We start from the raw sequence: 26,653 nt of genomic DNA, 5'->3' as shown, positions 1-26,653 counted from the left end.
TCCAGTCAGAACAACTTTCACCAACTTTATTTTTTTAAATAGAATTTGAAATTATGAATCAGAATTTCTTTAAAAACCAAACTTTATGTGAATGCAGTAGAGATTGTGGATATGGAAAAATTAAAGCTCAGCAGTAGAGATTTTCTGCTTTCTCTTTTGACTGTGTTATAAATATTCACTCTGCTTTTATTTCCCTTCATTAAGAAATTTCAGATGGAAAATCTAATCTCTTATATCATTGCTACTTTGCCCATTGTTTAGAAAAATCCTTTGAGTCAGAAATTTTTACTTTTACTACCTGCCCTGTTCACACAGATGCTGAGAACACTTTTGCTATTATTTTGTAGTGTGGCAGAAACTCAGACTGTGATCTCCTCCATAAAAGGATCAAAGAATTCTTCAGGTATTTGCTGTTCAGTTTTATTTAAGTTAACCACAGAATTAAAAGCCTTGTAAATATTAAAGCCAGGATTTAAACCTACTTAAATATATTTATAGAATAGGAGAATGGGGAGGGGTTTATCACCAAGAGGATTGCCTTGATCAACAGTTCTGATATTCTTAAAACCTCAAATCCTGGTCTTTCAGATTCTTATTCTCATCTATCTGATTGATTGACTGGTTGTAACAGAGTCTTGCTCTGTCACCTGGGCTGGAGTGCAGTGGCGCTATCTCTACTCACTGCAACTTCCACCTCCCAGGTTCAAGCAGTTCTCCTGCCTCAGCCTCCCAAATAGCTGGGACCACAGGTGCGCGCCATCACGCCTGGCAAATTTTTTTTTGTATTTTTAGTAGAGACAGGGTTTCGTCATGTTGGCCAGGCTGGTCTCGAACTCCTGGCCTCAAGTGATCCTCCTGCCTTGTCCTCCCAAAGTGCTGGGACTACAGGCGTGAGCCACCATGCCTGGCCTTTCTCATCTGTCTTATCCGGCTCCCTTATCTGTTCAACTAATTAGTATTAAGGTTTCATTGGCTCTAAGGATATTTGCTTTCAGAAGGAACTGCTTAAGGAATACTACATTACTCAAAGAAATAACTTTTTGGAAGTGTGGGAGAGATTGGATACCTTCCAAGTATCACTCAAAGCTCTTTTTCTTTTTTTTTTTTTTTTTGAGACGGAGTCGTTGTCGCCCAGGCTGGAGTCCAGTGGTGTGATCTTGGCTCACTGCAACCTCTGCCTCTGGGTTCAAGTGATTCTCTTGCCTCAGCCTCCCCAAATAACTGGGACTACAGGCTCACGCTACCACACCTGGCTAATGTTTGTATTTTTAGTAGAGATGGGGTTTCACCATGTTGGCTAGGCTGGTCTCCAACTCCTGACCTCAGGTGATCCGTCCATTTTGGCCTCCCAAAGTGCTGGGATTACAGGTGTGAGTCACCACGCCTGGCCCAAAAGCTCATTATATAATTATCTATCTTTTTCCTAAGTGAAAGGCCTTCTCTGCCTTTGCTTATCATGCAGTCTTCATAGTGAAGATGGGTATTGAAAATTGTAGTAGTCTGATAGGGGAACTAAGATTTAAGGGATCTACTTTTGGTTTAATCTAGGGACTACTGTATTGTATAATAGTTCTGATTTTTGAGTATCTTTTCAGACTCTAGCAGACATGTCTCTGAAACCTATTCTTGTTTTCCAGAAATATCTTCAGAGCCAGGAGATGATGATGAACCCACAGAAGGAAGCTTTGAGGGACACCAAGCTGCCGTAAATGCAATTCAGATATTTGGGAACTTGCTATATACCTGTTCAGCAGATAAAACTGTTCGGGTTTATAATCTGGTGGTAAGTTGATAGAACATGTAGAATGTTTTTGGTTGCAGGTTTTGGAAAATCCAGTTTATACTTTTTTAAACAATAAAGGGAATTTGTTGGCTGTCTGAAGGAAGGGGTGGGCCTGAGATTGACTTTAGATGCATTTAATCCAGAAGCTCAGCAAGGTCACTGGGGACTTAATTTCTTTTTGTCTCCCTACTCTGCCTTCTCTGGTATCACCTCTTCCTGAAAGCTAGTTCCCCTCCTGCTTACAGGGTAAATGTCAGGAGCCACTGGAGTCTCTTTTTCCCTCCCACCAGCACAGAAGGGTCCTGTGTTTTACTCCCTGAACGATCACCTTTGCCTGTGGCAAAGGGGGTTGGGATTACACCAGTGGTCTTGGACTGTTCAGGTCCCAATGCTGGAGTTGGTAATGGGGTCACTTGCATAGCAGCTACATAATAGAGGAGGGATGAAGTGAATATGGGGAAGTACTGGAGGAGGTATTTTCCCTGACAAGTGATTGATTACAGAGTTCAAGTTATTAAGGAGAGCAACACTTTTCCACTGCCTCACACTTAGTATTATCTGATGCTTATTACTCTCAAAAGAATGAACTTTTGAGTTTTGAATTTGAATTTGTTAATAAACTAATTATGTTTATGAACAATGAAAGCTTAAGAAATTTGAAGAACATGATGTCTGAATGAATACCATGAAAATATTTAAAATTGCTAGAGTCAGTGAAAATTAAAAAGTTAGATGATGGACCAGGAAAATGTGTTTGCTATATAGGCAACAGGTGTGTAGATTCCTTTAGCTTAATGATATGAGGATTAACACGAATGACTGAAAAAAGGAAGCAGTGCTACCAGGATGTATAAGTGTAAGATCTAGGGGAACAGGATATCAAAATATGTATGTGTATGTATATATGTACATTCTAAATAGATCTCAGTATGTGCACTGAGATAACATTTGGAATGTACCCATAAGAAACACCACCAGTGGCCGGGCACAGTGGCTCACACCTATAATCCCAGCAGTTTGGGAGGCCAAGGTGGGTGGATCATGAGGTCAGGAGATTGAGACCATCCTGGCTAACATGGTGAAACCCCATCTCTACTAAAAATACAAAAAATTAGCCGGGGGTGGTGGCGGGCACCTGTAGTCCCAGCTACTTGGGAGGCTGAGGCAGGAGAATGGTGTGAACCCAGGAGGCAGAGCTTGCAGTGAGCTGAGATCGCGCCACTGCACTCCAGCCTGGGGGACAGAGCGAGACTCTGTCAAAAAAAAAAAAAAAGAAACAACACCAGAACCACTAGACCTGTGATAGCACCTGACGTTTTTGAATACCATGGTGCATTCTCACAAACTGCTTATCAAATGCTCATCTTTTGTGGGAAATTAGCTGCAGTTTGGATTTGCTAGGTCCTTGGTCCATATGTCAGAAAGCTTTGCCCTAAACGTTAATTAAAATTCTGGCTGTCTTACAGTGTTGCCATAAGTATTTTCTGGTATGGCTCAACTAACATATACTTTCAGATACCTCATTGCCTGTGACTGTTTGCTAGGCACTTGGTGAACATACATTTACTGAGCATCTTTTGTGTACCAGGTGCTGTTTTAGACATGAGGATACAGCAGTGAACTGAATGTTTTAGCATCTTTTTGTTGAGGAAATATATTATCTAATCCTCCTATATCTCATAAGTAATAATCTGGTCTGTGCTTAAACTTTAGAGTCGGAAATGTATTGGTGTCTTTGAGGGTCATACCTCCAAAGTTAACTGCCTCCTGGTTACTCAGACCTCCGGGAAGAATGCTGCCCTTTACACCGGGTCCAGTGACCATACCATCCGCTGCTATAATGTTAAGGTAGGTGGGTCCAGAGAAATCCAAAGTGGTTCATATTGAGTCGCCTTTGTATTTACTGTGTGGAGTGGAGACACTGTGGCAGACGCTTCATTCTACCCACCATCTCCTTTTTGCTTCTAAACAATGTTTAGCACATTGTTGTAGCCCTAGGTAGATATGAGACTTACACATAAACCATATTTTCTGTCTCTCTCCACCAGTATTTTTTCACTTCCTACTATTAATAATATACCTTCCTTGGTCTTTGCCATAAATGTTATGCATATCATATGTCAAAACTAATCCTAGATAGAATAAAGAGAAAAATGTAGGCCGGGCTCAGTGGCTCACGCCTCTAATCCCAGCACTTTGGGAGGCAGAGGCGGGTGGATTCACCTGAGGTTGGGAGTTTGAGACCAGCCTGACCAACATGGAGAAACCCTGTCTCTACTAAAAATACAAAATTAGCCAGGCATGGTGGTGCATGCCTGTAATTGCAGCTACTTGGGAGGCTGAGGCAGGAGAATCACTTGAACCCAGGAGGTGGAGGTTGCAGTGAGCCGAGATTGTGCCACTGCACTCCAGCCTTGGCAACAAGAGCGAAGCTCCGTCTCAGGAAAAAAAAAAAAAAAAAAAGAGCAAAATGTATAAACTTTTTAAATCTGCAGAATTAGAAATGGACATCTCCTCTGAGAGTTTTTTAAACCTAAATGCACTGAAAGACATGAGAAAATTACATTTAAAATTATATACAATATGTTTTTAATTTCTTTAAAAGATGGAGGTATGTGAAGCAGAATTTATGACTATCATTAAGTTTATAACATAGGTGGAATATATGTGATAACAGGAACATAAAGAAGGGGGAGGGAATGGAGCTGTGCTAGGACAAGGATCTTATATTTTACTGGGAATAAGTATTAATTTGAACTAGCTTGTTATAATTTTAAAAATATAATCCCTAGAGGCACTGGCTCACAACTTTAGTGTGCATCACAGTGACCTGGACAGCTTGTTAAAACACATATTACTGGTCCCCACTCCCAGAGGTGTTTTTTTTGTTTGTTTGTTTTTTGTTTTTTAAGGTACAGGGTCTCACCATGTTGCTCAGGCTGGTTTTGAACTCCTGAGGTCAGGCAGTCCTCCCACCTTGGCCTCCCAAAGTGCTGAGATTACAGGCGTGAGCCACCACATGCAGCCCTTGCCAGAGTTTCTGATCCAGTAGGCTTGTGATCAAGCTCCCAAATTTACATTTCTAGGCGAGGTACTATGGTTCATGTCTGTAATCCCAGCACTTTGGGAGGCCAGAGCAGGAGGATTGCTTGAGGCCAGGAGCTCAAGACCAACCTGGGCAACATAGCAAGACCCTGTCTCTATAAAAAATAAAAATCAGCTGGGTGTGGTGATGCACACCTATAGTCCTAGCTGTTTGGGAGGCTGAGGTGGGAGGATCACTTGAGCCCAGGAATTCAAGGTTATAGTGAGCTGTGCTTGTGTCACTTCACTACAGCCTGGGTGACAGAACAAGAACCTGCCTCAAAAAAGCATAAAAATTAACCAAAACAAACAAAAAGAATTTACATTTCTAATAAGTTATTAGGTGATACTGATGCAGATGGTTTGGGGACCGCACTTTGAGAAATACTGCCCTAGAGTAATTACTAAAAGAATAATGCAAAGAGGATCATGAGGTCAGGAGTGTGAGACCAGCCTGGCCAACCTGGTGAAACCCTGTCTCTACTAAAAATATGAAAATTAGTCGGGTGTGGTGACGCACACCTGTAATCCCAGCTACTCGGGAGGCTGAGGCTGGAGAATCACTTGAACCCAGGAGGCAGAGATTTCAGTGAGCCAAGATCATGCCACTGCACTCCAGCCTGGGCGACAGAGCAAGACTCTGTCCAAAAAAAAAAGAAAAGAAAAAAAAAAGAACAATGCAAAGAAATTGAGCTTAGAAAGTCAATTGAGGAATTAAAATGGTGAGCTAAAAATATACTTAAGGCTGGGCGCGGTGGCTCACGCCTGTAATCCCAGCACTTTGGGAGGCCGAGGTGGGCGGATCACGAGGTCAGGAGATCGGGACCACCCTGGCTAACACGGTGAAACCCCGTCTCTACTAAAAATACGAAAAATTAGCCAGGCGTGGTGGCAGGCGCCTGTAGTCCCAGCTACTCGGGAGGCTGAGGCAGGAGAATGGTGTGAAGCCGGGAGGCGGAGCTTGCAGTGAGCCGAGATTGCGCCACTGCACTCCAGCCTGGGCGACAGAGCAAGACTCCGTCTCAAAAAAATAAATAAATAAATAAAAATATACTTAATACAAGAGAAGGTAGAAGGAGAAATAGAGGAATAAAAATGAGACAAATAGAAAGCAAATAGCAAATTGGAGACCTAAATTTACCCATATTTAATAATTATATGAAATGTGAGTGAACTGACACTAAAATCAAAAGACAGAAATTGGCTGGATACAAAAGTAACATCAAAATCTTTGTTGTCTACAAGAGACACACTTTTATTTTTGAGACAAGGTCTTGGCCTGTCACCCTGGCTAGGGTGCAGTGGCGTGATCATAACTCATTGCAGCCTCGAACTCCTGGGCTCAAGTGATCCTTCCGCCTCAGCCTCCCGAGTAAATTGGGATTACAGGCACATGTCACTATGGTTTGCCAATTAAATTTTTTTTTTTTTTTTTTTTTTAGAAATACGGTCTTGCTATGTTGCCTAGGCTATTCTAAAGCTCCTGGGCACAAGCAGTCCTCCTGCTTTGGTCTCCCACAGTGCTGGGATTACAGGCATGCACCACCATGCCCAGGCAAAGAGACATACTTTAAATGTAAAGACAAAATAGGTTGAAAGTAAAAGAATAAGAATGGAAATAGATATACTATGCAAATAGTAACAGAGCTGGAGTGGTTATGTTAATATTGAGCAAGCAGACTTTAAGACACGTGACTGGGCACTGCGGCTCATGCCTGTATCCCACTTTGGGAGGCTGAGGTGGGAGGATCACTTGAGACTGTAAGTTCCAGACCAGCCTCGGTAACATAATGAGATCCCGTCTCCACAAAAAATAAAAAAATGAGGCAAGCGTGGTTATATGTACCTGTAGTCCTAGCTACTTGGGAGGCTGAGGTGGGAGGATCATTTGAGCTGAGGAATTTGAGGTTATAGTGAGCTATGACAATGCCACTGCACTCCAGCCTGGGTGACAGAGTGAGACGCTGTCCCTTTAAAAAATGAAAAAGACAAGGAATACTACTGGAGAAAGGAGGATATCCCATAATGATGAGTCAGCACACCCGAAAGATATAACAATTATAAGTACAGGTACCTAATAACAGAGCTCTAAAATACGTGAAACAATAACTGATAGAACTGAAAGGAGTAGACAAATTCACAGTTATAGTTGGGGACATTAACAACCCTTTCTCAATAATTGATAGACTACTAAATAAAAAACCATGAAGGATATACAAGAACTGTACAACACTGGCCGGGTGTGGTGGCTCATGCCTGTAATCCCAGCACTTTGGGAGGCTGAGGCGGGTGGATCACTTGAGGTCAGGAGTTCGAGACCAGCCTAGCCAACATGGCGAAACCACATCTCTACTAAAAATACAAAAAAATTAGGCTGGCTGTGGTTGGCTTAATGCCTGTAATCCCAGCACTTTGGGAGGCCAAGGTGGGCATATCACCTGAGGTCAGGAGTTTGAGACCAGCCTGAAAAACATGGTGAAACCCATCTCTACTAAAAATACAAAAATTAGCTGGGTGTGGTGCGTCTGAAAAAATAAGTAAACTCCGTCTCAAAAAATAAATAAACAAAAATAAAAATACAAAAAAATTAGCTGGGCCTGGTGGTACGTGCCTGTAATCCCAGCTACTCAGGAAGCTGAGGCAGGAGAATCACTTGAACCTGGGAGGTGGAGGTTGCAGTGAGCTGAGATTTGCACCACTGTACTCCAGCCTGGGCAACAGAGAAAAACTTCATTTCAAGAAAAAAAAAAAAAAAAAAGAACCGTATAACATCATTAACGATCAAGATCCAATTAACATTTATAGGACATTCCACTCAAAATTGCAGAATACACATTTTTTTCAAGAATGTGCACATAGAACATTTACCAGGACCACATGCTGGGCTATTAAATAAATTTCAATCAATTTAAAAGCACCAAAATCATACAAAGTATGTTCTCTAACCACAATGACATTTATTAGAAAGCAGTAACAGAAATCTAAGAAATCCCCAAATATAGGGAGATGAAAATAAGATACTTCTAAATTATTGTGGTTCAAAGAAGGAATCACGAGGGAAATTAGAAAATACCTAACTAAATGAAAATGCAACGTATCATTTGTAGGATGCAGCTAAAGCACTGCTAAAAGGGAAATTCGTGGTTTTAATTGCTTCTATTAGAAAAGAAGAAAGCTTTAAAATCCAAGAAACTAGAAAAAGAGGCTGGGCACAGTGGCTCATGCCTGTAATTCTAGTGCTTTGGGATGTTGAGGTGGGAGGATCATTTGAGGCCAGGAGTTCAAGCCTAGCTAGGCGACTTGTACAAACCTGTAAAAAATTATACAAACTTGTAAAAAAAAATTGTAAGCATATTTTGGTAATAAATAGTCTTACATAAAACCAGGGGGAAAAGCCGTAACTTAAGATAGGACAAACAGGTTTGGTATATGTTGTAAGGGGCTTACACCTTTAAATTCCTATAGCCAGGTGCAGTGGTTCATGCCTATAATCTTAACACTTTAGGAGGCCAAGTTGGGAGGATCGCTTGAGCCCAGGAGTTCAAGAACAGCCTAGGCAACATGGCGAGACCTCATCTCTCCAAAAAAATTTAAAAATTAACTAGGCATGCGCGATGGCCCACGCCTGTAGTTCCAGCTACTCGGGAGGCTGAGGTGGGAGGATTCCTTGAGCCTCGGAGGTCAAGGCTGCAGTGAGCAGTAATCACGTCACTGCACTCTAGCCAGGAGGCAGAGCGAGACCTTGTCTTTCAAAAAACAAATACATAAGTAAATCCCTAAACATACATTGACAAAAAACAAGCAAGTCTCTTAAAAAGAAATAACAAATAACTGAAAAAAATACAATCTTGCAAATAAATGCAAATTAAAACCAAAGTACAAGGAATACCATTTTTACTCACAATATTAGCAAAAACTCTTTTAAAAGGCTTTTCAGTATTAAGGGTTCTAACGTGTAGTCTTTGGCATAGCAGGACCGTACACTAGTGAAAAAGATTTTGTAACCATTTTTTAACATTGAGACATAACTTCATACAGTAAAGCACACAGATTTTAAGTATACAGCTTGATGAATTTTTCTGCAGATATTTGTTTGTATAACTACCACAAAGATCAAAACGTAGACCATTTCATAGCCCTGAAGCTTCCCTCAAATGCCTCCCTGGGCATAACCTTCTTCTAAAGCTAATCACTATTTTGACTCCTGTCATAGATTACTTTTCTCTGTGCTTAGCTGTCATATCAGTATAACTGTACCACATGTGTTCTTTTATGTCTAGCTTTAGCTCACCATAATGTTTGAAAATTCATCTGTATTGGTACATGTGCCAATAGTTTGTTCCTTTTTTATTGCTATGTAATGTTCAATTTCCCCTATAAAGTTACAAAAGATCTCATAGGATTAATGGGAAGCAACATGAATCTTAATATTTAGGCATATTTACTGTCTTTTGCTGTATCTTACAATTTCATATATGGCACTTATGTTTGTGATTTTTTCAGGGGAGAAATTGAATAATTTAAGTGACTGACTCTTTTAGGTATGAAAGAAGGTTGGGAGACGAGACCAATGGATTTGACAAGCCACAGCTTTTCTCATCCTACCCAATTGTAACCATCTTGATTTTAATATCTACAGCCAAGCCCACTTAAAAAGCTACACCTGGGTCTTCAGTATCATTCAACAACAAATTTTTTTTTTTTTAATTGAGACGGGGTCTCGCTGTGTCGCCCAGGCTGGAGTGTGGTGACCTGATCTCTGCTCACTGCAACCTCCGCCTCCGTGGTTCAAGCAGTTCTCCTGCCTCAGCCTCCCAAGTAGCTGGGACTACAAGCACGCACCACCATGCCCAGCTAATTTTTGTAGTTTTAGTAGAAACAGGGTTTCACCGTGTTAGCCAGGATAGTCTCAATCTCCTGACCTCGTGATTCACCCGCCTCGGCTTCCCAACGTGTAGGATTACAGGCATGAGCCACTGTGTCCGGCCTCAACAACAAATTTTGAATTTACTATGTCCTGTCCCAATTCTTGGTTCTAGATAAAGAGATTTGCTAGTACAATCTAGTTGGAGGAAATTGGTAGAAATCGTTTTCTGGCCGGGCACAGTGGCTCATGCATGTAAGGGAGGCCGAGGCGGGCAGATCACGAGGTCAGGAGATCGAGACCATCCTGGCTAATACGATGAAACCCCGTCTCTACTAAAAAAATACAAAAAATTAGCTGGGCGTGGTGGCGGGCGCCTGTGGTCCCAGCTACTCGGGAGGCTGAGGCAGGAGAATGGTGTGAACCGGGGAGGTGGAGCTTGCAGTGAGCCGAGATCGCACCACTGCACTCCAGCCTGGGCGACAGAGCAGGACTCCGTCTCAAAAAGAAATCGTTTTTTGAAGGTCAGATCAAACAGTGGGTATTAAATCTGCATGTGCATCTGAATTACTAGGGAAATTTTTTAAAACACAGATTCTAGAGCCCACTGAATTAAGAGTCTCAGGGATGGGGTTGGAGCTTGGGTTCTATGTATTTTAAAAGCCTCTTGAGTAATTTAGCCCAGCTAACCTGGCACCAGTTTGAAGGAGACATTTGGGAGCTATTGAAATAGAGAATCATGTGCGGAAAACCACATATTTGATTAGTGCATTTATCAAATATATAACTATAATCCTGATTTTCCTCTTTAGATGTCAAAATAGAGCTTTGTCTTTTATATTTGGCCTCTTAATTTAAGAGGCTAAGACCTAACTCATAGTACCCTTTGAAGAATTTCTACATTCTAAGTTAGAAACATGGGTAACATTACTAGAATTTATGTTTATTTTTCATATTACCTACAGCTTGGAAGTCTTAGGCCTCATATTTCAAAGGAGAAACAGATCTAAGATAGTCCCCTACAAAATAGAGGATGTCACACTTTCTTCCGCATAAGAGTCATTTTAAAGTCTGCTTTCTGGAGGAATTGTTTTTGACATCTCATTTGCCAGTACCCTCTGCTGATTAAAGGTTGTGTGCTTTTATCAGAGCCGAGAGTGTGTGGAGCAGTTACAGCTGGAAGACCGGGTCCTCTGCCTCCACAGTAGATGGCGAATCCTCTATGCGGGACTGGCAAATGGCACTGTGGTCACCTTCAACATAAAGGTTAGTGGTTGGAGGAGAAAAGGCTTACTTCCCATGCACTTGAAAACAGTGTGAGCATGTGTGGGAAGAAGTAGCAGGCAGGGATTTTCCTATTTTCTTCTGTGAGGAAGCAGCAGAATTAGCCACTACTCAAACACAGTTATCTTCTGATGTAAGTGAAACAAGATCCTCCATTCTCTCTGCTTCTACTCAAATGTTCCAGGACCAAAATGTAACTCCACTAAATTAAACCAAGTCTGAAGATTTGGGGCCAAATAATGAGTCATGTATTAAACTAGTCTGTCTCAATTTAAGAATGACATCATAAAAAATGAACTTAAGTGCTCACTTTGACAGCACATACACTAAAATTGGAATGATACAGAGAAGATTAGCATGGTCCCTGCACAAGGATGACACGCAAATTCATGAAGCATTACATATTTTAAAAAAAATGAAGAAAAATGAACTTAAATTCCGTTGAGTATGACATTGGTGTGGTTTGGCACTGGTTTAGGGTTTCATGAGGGCGGCCCATCTGTGAGGTGAACTAAGAGGTTTGCTGTAATGCCCATATGGCTTCATTCTTTCCTAAACCAGAGATAAATTCATTTGTTGACCTAGCCTTTATTGAGCATCTGTTATGTGCTAGGCCCCAGGATAAGGTTTAGTTTTTGATGGCCCTGTGTGCTTTGTTAAGGTAGTTGGACTTCATCTTACAGGCTGTAAAGTATGAGAGACATGATCCCATTATATTTTAGAAAAAGTCACTGGAGTTGATAAGATTGGGAAAGATTGGTATTAGCAAAGGCAGGGAGACCATTTAGGAGGTTTTGTAGTGGAAGCTGACATGAAAAAGGTTAAACAGGATGAAGAGAAGGGAATGGAGGAAATATATAATCCAAGAGGTAGAATCGATAGGTTTGATTGCTAATTAGTTGTGGCACCATATCCTCTGGTCATCTTGTAACCATGTGTTAGAATGGTACTATTACAGTGTCATTCATAGGCTGCATGCTAGCTGGAACTAACAGAAGGTGTGCATTGAAATATGTCATGGTTTCTGCCTACAGGAAACTTAAGATCAAGTGAGAAGAATTTAGCACGTATATAATCAAGTGCCAAGTGATTTGGTCTGTTCGATATGATACATCACAGAAGGGCAATTAGTGAAGATTTTTGCATTTTAGATGCAGACAAGTTCTAAGTCTGATTAAATTGGATTAGGGCAATAGAAATGGAGAGGAAAGTAAATTTAAAATATTTTAAAGGCTAAAACGTGATAATTGCCTAATTACCTTCTCTTTCGTGAGATTATCAGAAGTAGACAGAAGTGGATGGGTATGGTGGCTCATGCCTATAATCCCAGCACTTTGGGAGACTGAGGTAGGAGGATTGCTTGAGCCCAGAAGTTCGAGACCAGCCTGGGCAACAAAGCAAGACCTCTGTTTCTCAAAAAAAAAAAAAAAAAAAAAGCTAAGTATGGTAGCACACGCCTGGAGTCCCAGCTACTCAGGAAGCTGAGGCAGGTGGATTGCTTGGGGCCAGGACTTCAAGGCTGCAGTGAGCTATAATCACACCATTGTACTCAAGACTGGCTGACAGAGTGAGACCCTGTCTCTCTCTCTTTTTTTTTTTTTTAAGTAGTAGACAGAAGTAAGGAGCAAGACAATCTTGAGGCAAAATGATGAGATGATGACAAGAAATTCAAATGGAAAAGTTCTTTAAAGGATTGAAAAGCCCTGGAGAAGATGGTCCTAGAGACAGACATTTGAGAATCTCTGCATAGATGTGAATTTTGAAGATGAGGGCTGGGCTTTTTCCTAGGTTGCCCATACTCTTAGAATGTAGTGCTTCTGGAGTCACAACAGAGAGCCAGGACTGTTTACCAGGGCCGGTCCACCTTTGGGTCCTGACCTCCTTTCAGTCTGTCTCCCTAGCACTTCAACACTGTTGAAATCATTGCTCAGCAATGTAGGCTCCCAGCTGTCGCTTTCTGCTTAGTTTTAGGAGCCTTACTCCAGGCATGCACCTAAAAAACTTCTGTGGAAGTGGGAGGCTTAATGAACAGGGTTGGCTGGGGGATGAAGGAAAGAAGTCTAAAATCTGAGATAAAAGAATGTTTTGGGATTCAGGATGTGACCCTACCACTCTGATATAATTAGGCTTCTATAGTCTACTAAATGATGTTGTGAGAGATGACATGGAACCAGGTGCCAGAAGAACATCATAATAAGGTGGAGAATTTAGGCCAGGTGTGGTGGCTCACGCCTGTAATGGGAGGCTGAGGCAGGCAGATCACCTGAGGTTAGGAGTTCAAGACCATCCTGGCCAACATGGTGAAACCCTGTCTTTACAAAAATACAAAAATTAGCCAGGTGTGATGGCGGGCGCCTGTAATCCCAGCTACTCAGGAGGCTGCGGCAGGAGACTCACTTGAACCCAGGAAGCGGAGGTTGGAGTGAGCTGAGATGGCGCCATTGCACTCCAGCCTGGGCGACAGAGCGAGACTCCGTCTCAAAAAAAAAAAGTGGAGAATTTGAGACTTACTGAAATTACCTAGGAAGGTAATTCTAAATAGAGATTTTTGGAAACAGCATGACACATAGATTGCCTAAATTTTGGATGACAGAAATAGTTCCTGGGTCGGTGTCAGGGAATATGCACTAGAGTTTGAAAAAAAAAGGTTCACCCTTCATTATTATTAACTTACAGGTGGTGAAAGAAAGCATAAAAAGAGAACCAGTTTCTAATTAGGATGGAGATGGTGTGGGTTGAAGTTATAAATGAGTTTATAATGTAAGCGTTTGCCCTCCTCAGATCAGGGGATGGGGGAGGTTCAGTAAAAAGGGTTGGAGTGGGAAATAGCGGAGATGGATAAGTTAAGGCTGCAGAGTGGGTATGAAAATTTGAGTACAGGTGACAGAAATGAGTTTGTACCAAGGTAATGATGTTGGTTAGTTGAATTTTCCAGCTAAGTTGGTTTTAGCTGTAATCTTGGCTTATTTTCCAGAACAACAAACGACTTGAGATCTTTGAATGCCATGGCCCTCGGGCAGTCAGCTGTCTTGCTACAGCTCAGGAAGGTGCCCGAAAACTGCTGGTCGTGGGGTCTTATGACTGCACAATTAGTGTACGCGATGCCCGGAATGGACTGCTCCTCAGAACTCTGGAGGGCCATAGCAAAACCATTCTTTGCATGAAGGCAAGTACAGTGCAAGAGAATCGGAGTTGTCTGGCACAAATAGAAGGGTTTTGAGGCCAGGCGAGGTGGCTCACGTCTGTAGTCCCAGCACTTTGGGAGGGTGAGGCAGGGGGATCGCTTGAGCTCAGAAGTTCGAGACCAGCCAGGGCAACATGGCAAAACTCGATCTCTACAAAAAAATACAAAAATTAGCGGGATGTTGTGGTGTGCACCTGTACTACTTATGAGGCTGAGGTGGGAGAATCACTTGAGCACCAAAGATCGAGGCTGCAGTGAGCCATGATTGTGCCACTGTACTCTAGCATGGGCAACAGAGTGAGACCTTGACTCAAGCAAAGCAAAACAAAACAAAGAAGGGTTTTAAATGGCATTTCCCGTGTTGTCTCATGCATCATTTAGAAGCACCACCTTGGAAAGAGCAAGGAGATTGCAAACCTTTTCTTTACACCAACATCACCAAGTGATGCACTTTCATTTGAGAAACAATGAGTGTATTTTGTTATACTGTGGGTATACTCGAATGCCCTTCTAGGCTGCTTCATAATCATTCTGGAAAGGTAACAAACGTAATAATACATTGTCAGTTCATTAGCATGCTTGGTAGGGGGGTGTAAGTTTCAGCTGAGAAAATTCATCTGAGAAACTTTTATACCTAGTTCATCGTGCTCATCTCAAAATAGGATGGAAATTAGAATTTGCCAATGTGTATTACAAGTTATAGAGAAAATTAAGAACCGTATACAGAATCTGACTTGTTTAATTTTTTCTTTAAGGTGGTGAATGATCTCGTGTTCAGTGGCTCCAGTGATCAGTCAGTCCATGCTCACAACATTCACGTAAGCTGTGTTGGTGTTGTGTAAAGAAACTGTGAATAAAATAATGGTTAAAGCTTGATGGTTTTCTTAAACCTCTTGCAATTTAAATTAAGCCCTTTATCCACCGAAGGGATTCGTAATCATCCCTGTGCATATGCTCTTGGATAATATTGTGTAATTTAGAAATTCTACCTCATCAAAGTTTTTAATGGTGGACAGACAGGCTTTATGTAAGGTTTAGTTTGAATGCCTCATTTAAACTTGAAATAAACTGAGCAGCTGAGGCTTCCAGAAAGTGGATATGATATGTAGTTAAAATAGAACTAGTAAAAACAGCTGAGAGCTGGGCCCAATGGCTGTCACCTGTAATGCCAGCTACTCAGAAGGCTGAGGTGGGAAGATCACTTGAGGCCAGGAGTTTGAGACCAGCCTAGGCAAAATAGTGGCCCCATCTCTTAAAAAAAATTTTTTTTTAATTAGCTGGGCATGGCAGTGCGTCCTGTAATTCCAGCTACTCAGGAGGCTGAGGTGGGAGGATTATTTGGCCCCAGGAGTTCAAGGCTGCAGTGAGCTGTGATTGCACCACTGCACTCCACCCTGGGTGACCAAGTGAGACCCCATTTCTTTCTTTCTTTCTTTTTTTTTTTTGAGATAGGGGTCTCACTTTGTCCCCCAGGCTGGAGTGCAGTAGTGCGATCTTGACTCACTGCAGCCTCAACCTCCTAGGCTCAAGGGATCCTCCCACCTCAGCCCCCCAAGTAGCTGGGACTAATGGCGTGAGCCTCCATGCCTGGCTAATTTTTTTATATTTTTTGTAGAGATGGAGTCTTGCCATGTTGCCCAGGCTGGTCTTGAACTCCTGAGCTCAAGTAATCTGCCCAGCTCGGCCTCCCAAAGTTTTGGAATTATAGGTGTGAGCCACTGTGCCCGGCCTGTGAGACCCCATCTCTTAAAAAAATGAACAACAGAAACAGCTGAGAGACTGTTCTCAGGTCATAGAGGCAGCTTTTTGAAGCTCAGTTCCTGGTTCATAACCTCAGAATAATTCCCACCTGATAGACTTGTGGTCTAGATCCAGTGAAATGAAAAAAGTGAAAGTACTTGGAAAGCTATAAATACAGATAGAGTTTTGGCCGCTTTCTTTCCATGACTAATATTAGAGTCTTTCCATCAGGATACAATCCATATATTTTGTATATGTAATAAATGATTGTGGGATACTTCTGCTATTAAAGTTAATACAGTTGTATTAACTGTATTTGTACAGTTAATACAATTAATTGTATTAATTATATGTGTACAGTATCCTCAGAATTATGCCTCTTAGAATTATAGAATTATAACCAGGAAGGAGTCTCGAAAGTCAGTCTGGTGACTCTTACTTCTCTTCTGACATAGACTGGTGAGCTCGTGCGGATCTATAAAGGTCACAATCATGCAGTGACTGTGGTGAATATCCTAGGAAAAGTGATGGTGACTGCTTGCCTGGATAAATTTGTTCGTGTCTATGAATTACAGGTAGAATTTAGATTCAGTATTTTGCTTGAATGATTTGGGGAGATTGTCTATTTGGGTTTAGTGTTGATTTTTGATACAGTAAGGTGGGATGGAACCCAGGAATCTGTATTTTCACAAGCATTCTAGATAATTATGAAACAGCTGGCCTGTGGACTGCAGCTTTCAGAAACCACTCTAAGATACTTGATCTGGGTCATGGGTGTCAAAACTTAATTTCTGGAGAGCAACTCCAGTCTCTTAAAACCTGTCTAGTTCTCCTTGTGTGCAGTTTCAAGTTTGAAACTCTGATTCTAACAAAATTGATTTTATTACTTCTAATTACCAGCTCCCTCCTTGAGTAGTAGAATGTAAAAGAAAAATTGCCATTAGATTATATTTCTGTTAGAATGCTACTGGTGCTTCCACTTGGCGCCTCAGGTGTGGTTTTAAACCTGCCAAAGGCCTTTAGGGACTGTACTTATTAAACGCAAGGTATAAATAACTTCAATTCTCTTTTTTTTTTTCTGCCTAAGTCTCATGATCGATTACAAGTTTATGGAGGACACAAAGACATGATTATGTGTATGACCATCCATAAAAGCATGGTGAGTGTTATTTGTCATGTAAGATATTTGCTTTTGAATGTGTTTGCTAAAAAATTCTTGTCACTTCCAAAAGTGACATCTGCTTCTGATATGCCTCATTGTTAAGTACCTTCCCATCTCTTGGCATAATAGGGAAGTAACCAGGGGACAGTGTTGAATATTCCATTGTCTATTAATAGCCAAAATTATTACAATAAAAATGGTAGTATCAACTACAGTTTAATAGAAGGTAAATTTAAGATGCTTCAAAAAATTGAGTGGTGCCTTTTCCAGAGACATGATCTGAATGGAACACTGGAATGGAGTCAGGAGATTTGGCCAGTGTGGCATGGTTACAGCAGACCTAAAAGTAGAAACCAACTCACGTAACCCTGCTAAGCCTTGTTTTTTTTATTTTTAAGTTATGGAGTTGAACCAGAATGGATGTTTTTCAGACTCTGAGTAGTAGAATCCTTTCTTTTCCAGGGAAATACAGGTGCCTAACATAGAGCACCCGATAGAAACCAGGGCTACCCCAGTTAAAGTATAAAGGACAAGTGGGTGCCTCTGAGCCCTGCCACTCCTCTCTGCCCTGGTCCCAAGTGGCTTTCTAAGGAGCACAGCTGCAAAATACCTAGACTAGAAGATCTGGAAAATACTTTCCCATTCTCCTGCTCTGGAGCTGGTTTTGATTTAGGTGTTTGTTTTCTTGTAGCTGCTGCAAGGAGCTTGTGACTCTTGTTTTGAGGGTGTTTTGTAGTTTGTATGTATTTTGGTCTGATATTATAAACCTCTCTTTCTCCAGATTTACACTGGCTGTTATGATGGCAGTATTCAGGCCGTGAGGCTTAATCTGATGCAGAATTACCGCTGTTGGGTAAGGAGTGAAACTCTTCCTGTCACTGGACTTCTATAGGTTGCTTCACCCTAGGCTAATTGATAGATCTTCATTATCATCAGTGTAGCATTTTTATATTTTAGCATCTACTTTATGCCTTACACTGTAGATCACAGGTTGTCTCCTCGGTGGTGGTTTTGTTTTATTATAAAATCAATACATGCTTAGAAAACAACAGTACAGAAATATATGAAATAAAAAGCGGAAGTGCTTATTTTGGTAATGGCACTGCCCCCTCTACTCCCGCTCATCAGAGATTACTAGTGTTAATGGTTTGGTTTGTGTCCTCATTGGTTTTTGAGGAATAGGCAAATAAAAAAAATTTAAGGTCTTGTAAGTTCTAAACCTTAGTTCATCAGGCTGAATTGTGTGGTTTTTATTTTGGGGTTAGGACTGATGATTAACCCTTAAAATTTTCACACTATTTCTTATAAGCCTTAATTTTTTTTTCGTCAGTTCTAACAATGGTAGCTTTTCCCTAAAACCCTAAGATCCTTTTCAGCATTGATGGCGTGAACTTGACACTCTCCATTTTAAAATTCGACTTTACGCTTGCCCACAGCTTAGTGACTTTTTAGCTCTTTACATATTACTATCTTTGCTTTTTAATTTTCTCAGTGAAGGCAAGCAGAATCTAGTGCAGTTCCTCTTTATCCAAGGGGGATATGGTCTATGTTTTTTTGATGTAATAATCAAGAGGGCTAAGTGACTAACAGGCGGTAGCGAATATAATGTAGATATGTTGGACAGAGGGACAGTTCACATCTGGGCAAGATGGAGTGGGATGGCAGGAGATTTCATCACACTGCTCAGAATAATGTGCAATTTAAAACTCAAGAATTGTTTATTTTGGGAATTTTCCAATTAATATTTTTGAAGATCAGTTAACCACAGGTAACTAAAACCTCAGAAAGTGAAACCATGGATAAGGAGGCACTACTGAACGACAGGATCCAGAGTACACAAATAGAGTTAATCTATAGAGAGAAATGGGGAAGATACCTCTGGCTTTATAGAGAGAAGGATGGAGTAGTACTGACAGAGGAAAAACTTAACTTTGCATTACTTTTTTTGTTTTGTTTTGTTTTTTGAGACAGAATCTCACTCTGTTGCCCAGGCTGGAGTGCAGTGGTGCAATCTCGGCTCACTGCAACCTCCGACTCCCTGGTTCAAGCGATTCTCCTGCCTCAGCCTCCCTAGTAGCTGGGAACACAGGCGCCCGCCACCACACCTGGCTAATTTTTGTATTTTTAGTAGAGACAGGGTTTCACCATGTTGGCCAGGCTGGTCTTGAACTCCTGACCTTGTGAACCACCTGCCTCGGCCTCCCAAAGTGCTGGGATGACAGGCGTGAGCCACAGTGCCCGGCCTGCATTACTTTTAAGAAATAAACATGTGTTCGAATTAGAATCACAAGACTTTACCAACAAGCCTGTAGGGAAAAGCCAAGACAGAGAGTCTTTGTGCTTCCTTGTTTTTCTTTTCTTTTTTTTTTTGAGACAGGGTCTTGTTATGTTACTCAGGCGGGAGTGCAGCGGTGTGGTCACAACAGTCACTGCAGCTTCAGCCTCCCAGGCTCCAGCAATCACCCTACCTCGGCCTCCCTGGTAGCTGGGACTGTAGGCATGTGCCACTATGCCCAGCTAATTTTTGTATTATTTTTATTATTTATTTTTTTTCTGAGACAGAGTCTCGCTCTGTCACCCAGGCTGGAGTGCGATCTTGGCTCACTGCAGCCTCCACTTCCCAAGTTCCAGCGATTCTCCTGCCTCAGCCTCCTGGATAGCTGAGATTACAGGCACATGCCACACGCCTGGCTGATTTTTGTATTTTCAGTAGAGTCAGGTTTCACTATGTTGGCCAGGCTGGTCTTGAACTCCTGACCTCAGGTGATCCGCCTGCCTCAGCATCCCAAAGTGCTAGGATTACAGGTGTGAGCCACCACGCCCGGCCTGTATTTTTTTTTTTTTTTTTTTGGTAGAGAAAGGGTCTCACTATGTTGCCCAGGCTGGTCTCGAGCTCCTGGGCTGAAGTGAACCACCCACCTCGGCCTCCCAAAGTGCTGGGATTACAGGGTGTAATCCCACTGAGCCACCACTTAGGAAGCATAAGACACTAGCTTATGCTTTCTAATACATGAAATTAAGCCACGTTTATAAGTAAAATTATAGCTTAAAAAAATAAGTAGGTATTCATAAGATTGAGATTCAAGTGACAAAGGTTGTGAGTAAAGTCAGGCTTCCATGGCAAACACAGTATTCTACAATAAATATTTCCACAAATGTAGTTTTCTTTATCAGACATTTTTATTTTCACATTTACATTCAACAGTTCTTAGAATTGTTAAAAATAGCCCTTTCGGGCGGGGTGCGGTGGCTCACGCCTGTAATCCCAGCACTTTGGGAGGCCAAGATGGGCGGATCACTTGAGGTTGGGAGTTTGAGACCAGCCTGACCAACATGGTGAAACCCTGTCTTTACTAAAAAAAAAAAAAAAAAAAAAAAAAATTAACTGGCCGTGGTGGTGCACGCCTGTAATCCCAACTATTTGGGAGGCCGAGGCAGCAGAACTGCTTGAACCCAGGGGGCAGGGGGCAGAGGTTGCAGTGAGCCGAGATCGTGCCACTGCACTCCAGCCTGGGCAACAGGAGTGAAACTCCATCTCAAAAAAAAAAAAAAAAAAGCCCTTTCGATATTATAGGAAAGGTATTTGCCTTTTGTATTGAATAAACTAAGATAGAAACTCAATTTTATGATGGCAACATCAAAAAATACAGTTTAAACAGAATTTCATGGTAATTTACCCATAAACATTTGCTGGCCTTTTCCTGATTTAAGAAGTTGTAATTGCTACGTTAGTGCTGTGCCCTCTCAAAATATCAAAAGATTTTTCCAGTATTTTCAAGGTTCCTCATTATACTGATATTTTGGTTGCCTTGGCTTTGTTGTCTTTTCTAGCCAAGAATAAATTTGAAATAAGGGGCTGGCTTTTTGCTTCCATAGTGCTTATGGGATCCAGCTGGGGGCTGTTCTGATTCACGTTCACTGCACCCTTTTTCACCGAGTCTCCTCATTTTCTTTCTCTCCAGTGGCATGGTTGCTCTCTGATATTTGGCGTTGTAGATCATTTAAAACAACACTTGCTGACCGACCACACTAATCCCAACTTCCAGACTCTGAAATGTCGCTGGAAGAACTGCGATGCTTTTTTCACTGCTAGGAAAGGATCCAAACAGGTACATTAGTGGGACTTGAGGTTTGCCTGGGATTCAGTAGACTGCTCAGAGCAGGGGCTAGCAAACCTTTTTTATTATTGAGAATTGCCATATATAGGGAGGGCCTAGGGTTTTTTATTTTTATGATTCAGAGATTTGGGGGGTAGCTTAATGAAGTTGCAAATGAAGAATTAGGTCATTTTTGAGAAAGGGCCTAAAGAGAATGTTTTCAGATGTTTCAAATCCAGTAACTGAACCTGGAGATTTATTACAGTGCTCTTGTGCTGAGACAACAGCTCACCTTTAAGTACATGGTTTCACGTAAGTTAGCAAAGTGCTGGCTCCTAACTGCCTTTCCTGTCTGGATCCTAGGTGGAATGGACCCACATGGCTTTCCTTGGCTTTGACTTTCTCCTGTCTTACTATCGACTTCTCTCTCATGGGCCCTTTTCCCTTCATTCCTAGGATGCTGCAGGACATATTGAACGACATGCTGAAGATGACAGCAAAATTGATTCATGAAGTTTTTTGCCTCCCACGTTGGGAAGTCATTAGTTGAACTATTTTCACATTGGCCCCCCACACAGGCCACTCTCTTCCCTTTCTTGGTGAAGTAAGGAAGGAGAAAGTGGTTACTAGCCAGGCATACCCCTAGCATAAGTCTGGGCAGCTCTATGGGATGATAAATTACACTTTTAAGTTCTTGCTGGAGGTTTTAAATAGATTTAGACAAATGTTAAGGAACCATACTTCTCTGGGACAGCATGGCATATAGTGATATATGCTATTTGCGTTCTCCAGATGTTTATTGAAGATACAGATCCTAATTGGTTACCCAGTTTGACCCTAATCATATGTATATTTTATTGATTTCAGTTTGCAATTTTTAATTTATGTTCTTATGATGGTTTAAACCTATAGTCAGGCTTTTAAGTACAAGTTTGTTTAAGTGCCAGACTTTGAGGATCAGTTTTAATTTCTCCATTTGTAATAGCTGGGTATTTAAACTGGAAGCAAATAGTTTTCTTTCTTAACAATTATGTGCAGTGTGTGTCACTGTTTTCTTGCTTTATAGATAGAGCTGGCTTTAAGTGCTAAAGGACACAGTAGATTTTTGACAAACAGTGGCTGCTCTGCTGACTATCTTTTAGGAATTCAGGAAGCAAATCACATAGTGACAAGTCCTTACAGACACCACTTCTAGTAAATCTCTGTAAATGTGGATAGAAAGCTCAGTGTGAGGCAGTGCGTAGACCTAACGTCTACCTTTACATCTGCTGTTGAACCTGGGCACTACCTGTTACAGATCCTGTCAGGCTGTTGAACTGGAGGTGTACCTTTATCTTCCTTTCTAGTGTCTGACCCTGCAAGCCTAATGTTGGTTTGAACCCTTTTGGTTTGTTCAGTTGCCAGCCTCCATCTCTCCCACTGTATGGCCGTGCCTAGACCGATGGCAGCCATCGAATATTCCTCTGGGCTCACGGGGTGTTTTCCACCCCCCTGCAGCAACTAAGATGGTGGGGGAGAGGGGGTTAGAATAAAGCATCTGAATACAGTTTTCAGGACCTCAAGCAGACTTCCTAGAGACTTGTTTCTGAGACAGTTCTTTGCCTTCACTTCCCTGCTAGCTGGGAAAGAAGAGTGGAGCAGAGACTCTGCCTGGCCACTGAGAACAGCCAAATTCACAAACCCTCAGTGGGGCTTTGTTTTTGGATTTTCTCCGGACTCATCAGTAAACCTGTAGAAGTGTCGCTTTCCAGCCTTTTGTTTCTGGATCCTCAAAACTCAGAACGTGGCCGGGCGTGGTGGCTCACGCCTGTAATCCCAGCACTTTGGGAGGCTGAGGCAGGCAGATCACCTGAGGCTAGGAGTTGCAGACCAGCCTGGCCAACATGGCAAAACCCCGTCTCTACTAAAAATACAAAAAGCCGGGCGTGGTGGGCGCCTGTAATCCCAGCTGCTCAGGAGGCTGAGGCAGGAGAATCGCTTGAACCCGGGAGGCAGAGATTGCAGTAAGCTGAGATCGTGCCACTGCACTCCAGCCTGGTGACAGAGTGAGACTCCGTCTCAAAAAAAAAAAAAAAAACTCAGCTTCTTCAGAGAGATAAAATTGGGGGAGGAGCCCAGGGCCACATACCAAGCTTTGGGACATGGTGCCTCATGCTCTCTGGGATTGCAGACCATCCAGGTCTGTCTTCGCCCCTGTTAGTGCACATATATCCACTCACATGTCTTCCCTCAGGCTATCGGGCAGGGGGACTTCACCAGGGGGTTTATGGATAGGCTTCAAGAGGGTCTGTGAGCCCCCAGAAATTGTGTGTGAGACTGAGTATGTGTTCTTTTTTCCAGGAAAGGCTCCAGTGGTTCTTACTTGATCCAAAAAATGTCAAGAATTAATCTAGGAGGCCGGGCCTGGTGGCTCACACCTGTAATCCCAGCTCTTTGGGAGGCCGAGGCGGGTGGATCACTCAAGGTCAGGCATTTGAGACCAGCCTGGCCAACATAGTGAAACCCCGTCTCTATTAAAAATACAAAAATTAGCTGGGTGTGGTGGTATGTGCCTGTAGTCTCAGCTACTCAGGAGGCTGAGACAGGAGAATCACTTGAACCCTGGAGGTAGAAGTTGCAGTGAGCCAAGATCATACTACTGCACTCCAGCCTGGGCGACAAGAGTGAAACTCCACCTCAAAAAAAAAAAAAAAAGAGTTAATCTAGGAGATAATGAATGGCCTAGTACTAGATAATATATGGCCCCACAAGCTCTTGACTTCTGTCCTTGGGGAAAGCCATTTTGTTAACCACACTAGTGAGATTTACATGATGCTTAATGGAGAACAGAGAAGATCTTGTTGCAAAAGGTGTATTAAATATTTGTGCTGTTTCTGTATGAGATTGAGAAGCTTTTCCCACCTCTCACCCCTATTTCCTATAAGGATATCCAGAGAAGCCAAACTGTTCTGTGGGTTTGGGAATGGTCATTTCCCGGGAAAATGCATCTGGATCGATGACTAAACCTGGCCCTTTTCTCTGGGCTGTAGTGAAGCCGCATTTTCACGCTGGCTGGCAGTGTGCTGAGAGCCTCGAATGCTCTGCGGCGTAGTGCCCTTCTGCCCTGCCTGACGATGTATCGAAAAGATGAGAGTGAAGGAGACTTTGTGCAGCAGGAAACGGGTAGGTGAGGTGTTGGGCAGTTGTGGGAACTTCTGAGAGTATTACAGAGTGGTAGAATCGGTAAGAACTCTGATTTGGACTTCGCTTTGGTGGAACTGTGTGCCTATACCTGCCTGTGTGTGTGCAAGTGTGCAGGTTCCTTTGTATGTATGTGTACGTGTGGGAACCTGTGTTTGTCATATTTTTCTTCATTTCACAAAGGCTTTTTTTGAAGCAGTGGCAGTATGCCTTTGTTTCAAGAACACATGAAATTCTTTTAACACCAGATTAGTGTGTTACCCCAAATGAACGGTTCTAGCCCTCTATTAAGAAATAAAGGGACCATAAGCATTTTGGCTGCTTATGGCTGTGTGTTACTACTTACAAGAGTCTTGAAAATTATACAGAACTTTGCCTTCTTTTTTTAATGTCTTCCACAATGTTGTGACTGATTATAACCCTGTTTCCCCTCAGAGAAGAGCTATGGCTCAGGGATCTGTGTTGACTCTGGCATTTAGTGGCTTTGTGAAGGAAAGAAACCATTAAATGACCTGACAAAAACTGACTCATGTCTTTAAAGTAGTTGAAGCCACTTTTAGAATGTTACTCTCGGTTGCTTTTGTCTAATTCTAATGGCTTAAAGCCAAGAAAACCATAGTATAAATCTTTTTGTGTACCTATGCTAGTGTTTAAATGGCAGTTCGTTGTGATAAAGTATCAGTCACTTCAAGTTTTCTGTGAAAGTTTTTAATTAGGTTAAAAATAATTTTGGCATACGTCTCTACTCAGTTTATAAAGCAGTTCCACACCATGCAAACAAAACTCTAACAGCAAAGGTTATCTTGACCTGATGTTACTTGAATCTGAGAGAAAGTCATTACTTACTACTGCACTCCTGCTTTTGTGGGAAAAATTTTCTTCTTCCCCAGAAGAGTTAACAGTTGAGTGTTCAGCTCCTGACTTACCTTTAATTTAGAGGCAATATTATTACTGTTTAAGTGATTATTTGCTTAACACAGGTTTTATTTTGTCTTTTTGCTGGTAGATTATACAAGGGACAACTTTAGTGATGAGGCATGTGGATGATTTGGTGGGAGTAGGTATATACTTAGTGGAATGGTTTATTTTATGGAAGAGAATTCATTGGAGGTGAGATTGAAGTATATTGTGAAGTGGGATTTGAACAGCACATATGCTCTGGTTTGCTCAAATAACTGCAGTTTATGCTTACATCTAAATTTTGTTTCTGTTACCTAAACGGGAGCTTCTAGAATTACGAAGGCCATACCTGCCACATTTATAAAATAATGGTTTTATCCCTGCCCCCAAATCATCAGGTTCCTCGGGTTTAAGAGAAGTGGTCTAATAGACAGGAATAGAAGTTGTGGTGGAGGTGATTTGGGATAGACTAGGTTTCCTTATGCAAGTGGATATGAGCTCCTCATAGAAACCAGACCTACTGTATTAGACAGTAACCTCTAACCTCACCTCCAAGCCCAAGTATATGGCCCTGCTGGGTTACCTGGTGACTACATTTCCCAGATTCACTCTAAATTCAAGGTAGTGACCCAAATAAATTGGGAAAGGAGGGGGTCAAGGAGGAAAAGCTGTTGAAAATCTTTCTCCTATTTAAGAGAAATATATGCCCTAGAGCTGCTCCAGCACCCTTGGTTTCTGATTTTTTTAATATTGAATATGGATTAGAAGAATGAAATCAGATGACACCTGACTGCAAAAATGTTTATAAGCAAATAGCCTTCTTACATTTTGGTATAAAGCTGTGAACTTCGTAACTTTGTAAAGCAAGATATAAAGCAAATACAAGAGGAAAATAAAGTACTTTTACTAATTGACGGTTTACTTTCGTTACCTTGTCTGCATATTCACGGCCAGCCCTTTCCACGTTGGCTTAGCGAGGAAGAAGGAAACTGGGTGGAAAACACAGGATGCCTATAGATATGCCGCAGGCCATGGTCCAGAGAAGTTTAGCAAACAAACAGCTGCGTTCAGGGTTTTGTCCACGGTCATGCGACAGGTCAGTTAGTGAGCAGAGGAGCTAGGATAGCTCAATCTCCACTCCATTATTCAGGTAACCGGCCCCTCCCGTTGTACATGACCCATTTATTCTTGATGTCTTTTACAGCAACAACTATTCCTCTGCCTTCCTTTTATGTCTTGGAAAGTATCTGAGCCATTCTTATGCTCAAGAAATAGCAATAGGCATGATTACAAAATTCAAGATTTTGTTTTTGTGTGTGTTTTTCATTGTTCTCTTGTAGGTGATAGGTGAGTATATGATTGGAAGCCATTCAGT

At 41.8% G+C, this 26,653-nt stretch overlaps 1 protein-coding gene and 1 pseudogene across 13 annotated transcripts in view; both read left to right on the top strand.

Moving 5' to 3' along the window:
• The window catches only part of ZNF106 (zinc finger protein 106), a 78,319-nt gene extending 52,127 nt beyond the window's left edge, over nt 1-26,192 (top strand). For 11 of the 13 annotated variants that reach the window (NM_001381997.1, NM_001366844.3, NM_001284307.4 and 8 more), the window contains 11 exons: nt 348-403; nt 1,638-1,783; nt 3,497-3,631; nt 10,881-10,997; nt 13,990-14,181; nt 14,955-15,017; nt 16,395-16,514; nt 17,027-17,098; nt 17,883-17,954; nt 21,064-21,210; nt 21,655-26,192. In NM_001381997.1, the coding sequence (NP_001368926.1) occupies nt 348-403; nt 1,638-1,783; nt 3,497-3,631; nt 10,881-10,997; nt 13,990-14,181; nt 14,955-15,017; nt 16,395-16,514; nt 17,027-17,098; nt 17,883-17,954; nt 21,064-21,210; nt 21,655-21,711 (1,177 nt within the window). In that variant the 3' untranslated portion in view covers nt 21,712-26,192. Of the gene's footprint in view, nt 1-347; nt 404-1,637; nt 1,784-3,496; nt 3,632-10,880; nt 10,998-13,989; nt 14,182-14,954; nt 15,018-16,394; nt 16,515-17,026; nt 17,099-17,882; nt 17,955-21,063; nt 21,211-21,561 lie in introns of all 13 variants that reach the window. The other 2 variants (NM_001381998.1, NM_001381996.1) reach the window with 2 other exon arrangements.
• Nucleotides 11,318-11,424, top strand: RNU6-188P (RNA, U6 small nuclear 188, pseudogene; annotated as a pseudogene).

This window comes from Homo sapiens, chromosome 15 (genome assembly GCF_000001405.40).
Source record: "Homo sapiens chromosome 15, GRCh38.p14 Primary Assembly".
NCBI classification, from domain to species: Eukaryota; Metazoa; Chordata; class Mammalia; order Primates; family Hominidae; genus Homo; species Homo sapiens.
The sequence above is the reverse complement of the archived record's forward strand: the minus strand, read 5'-3'. Positions and strand labels throughout refer to the sequence as shown.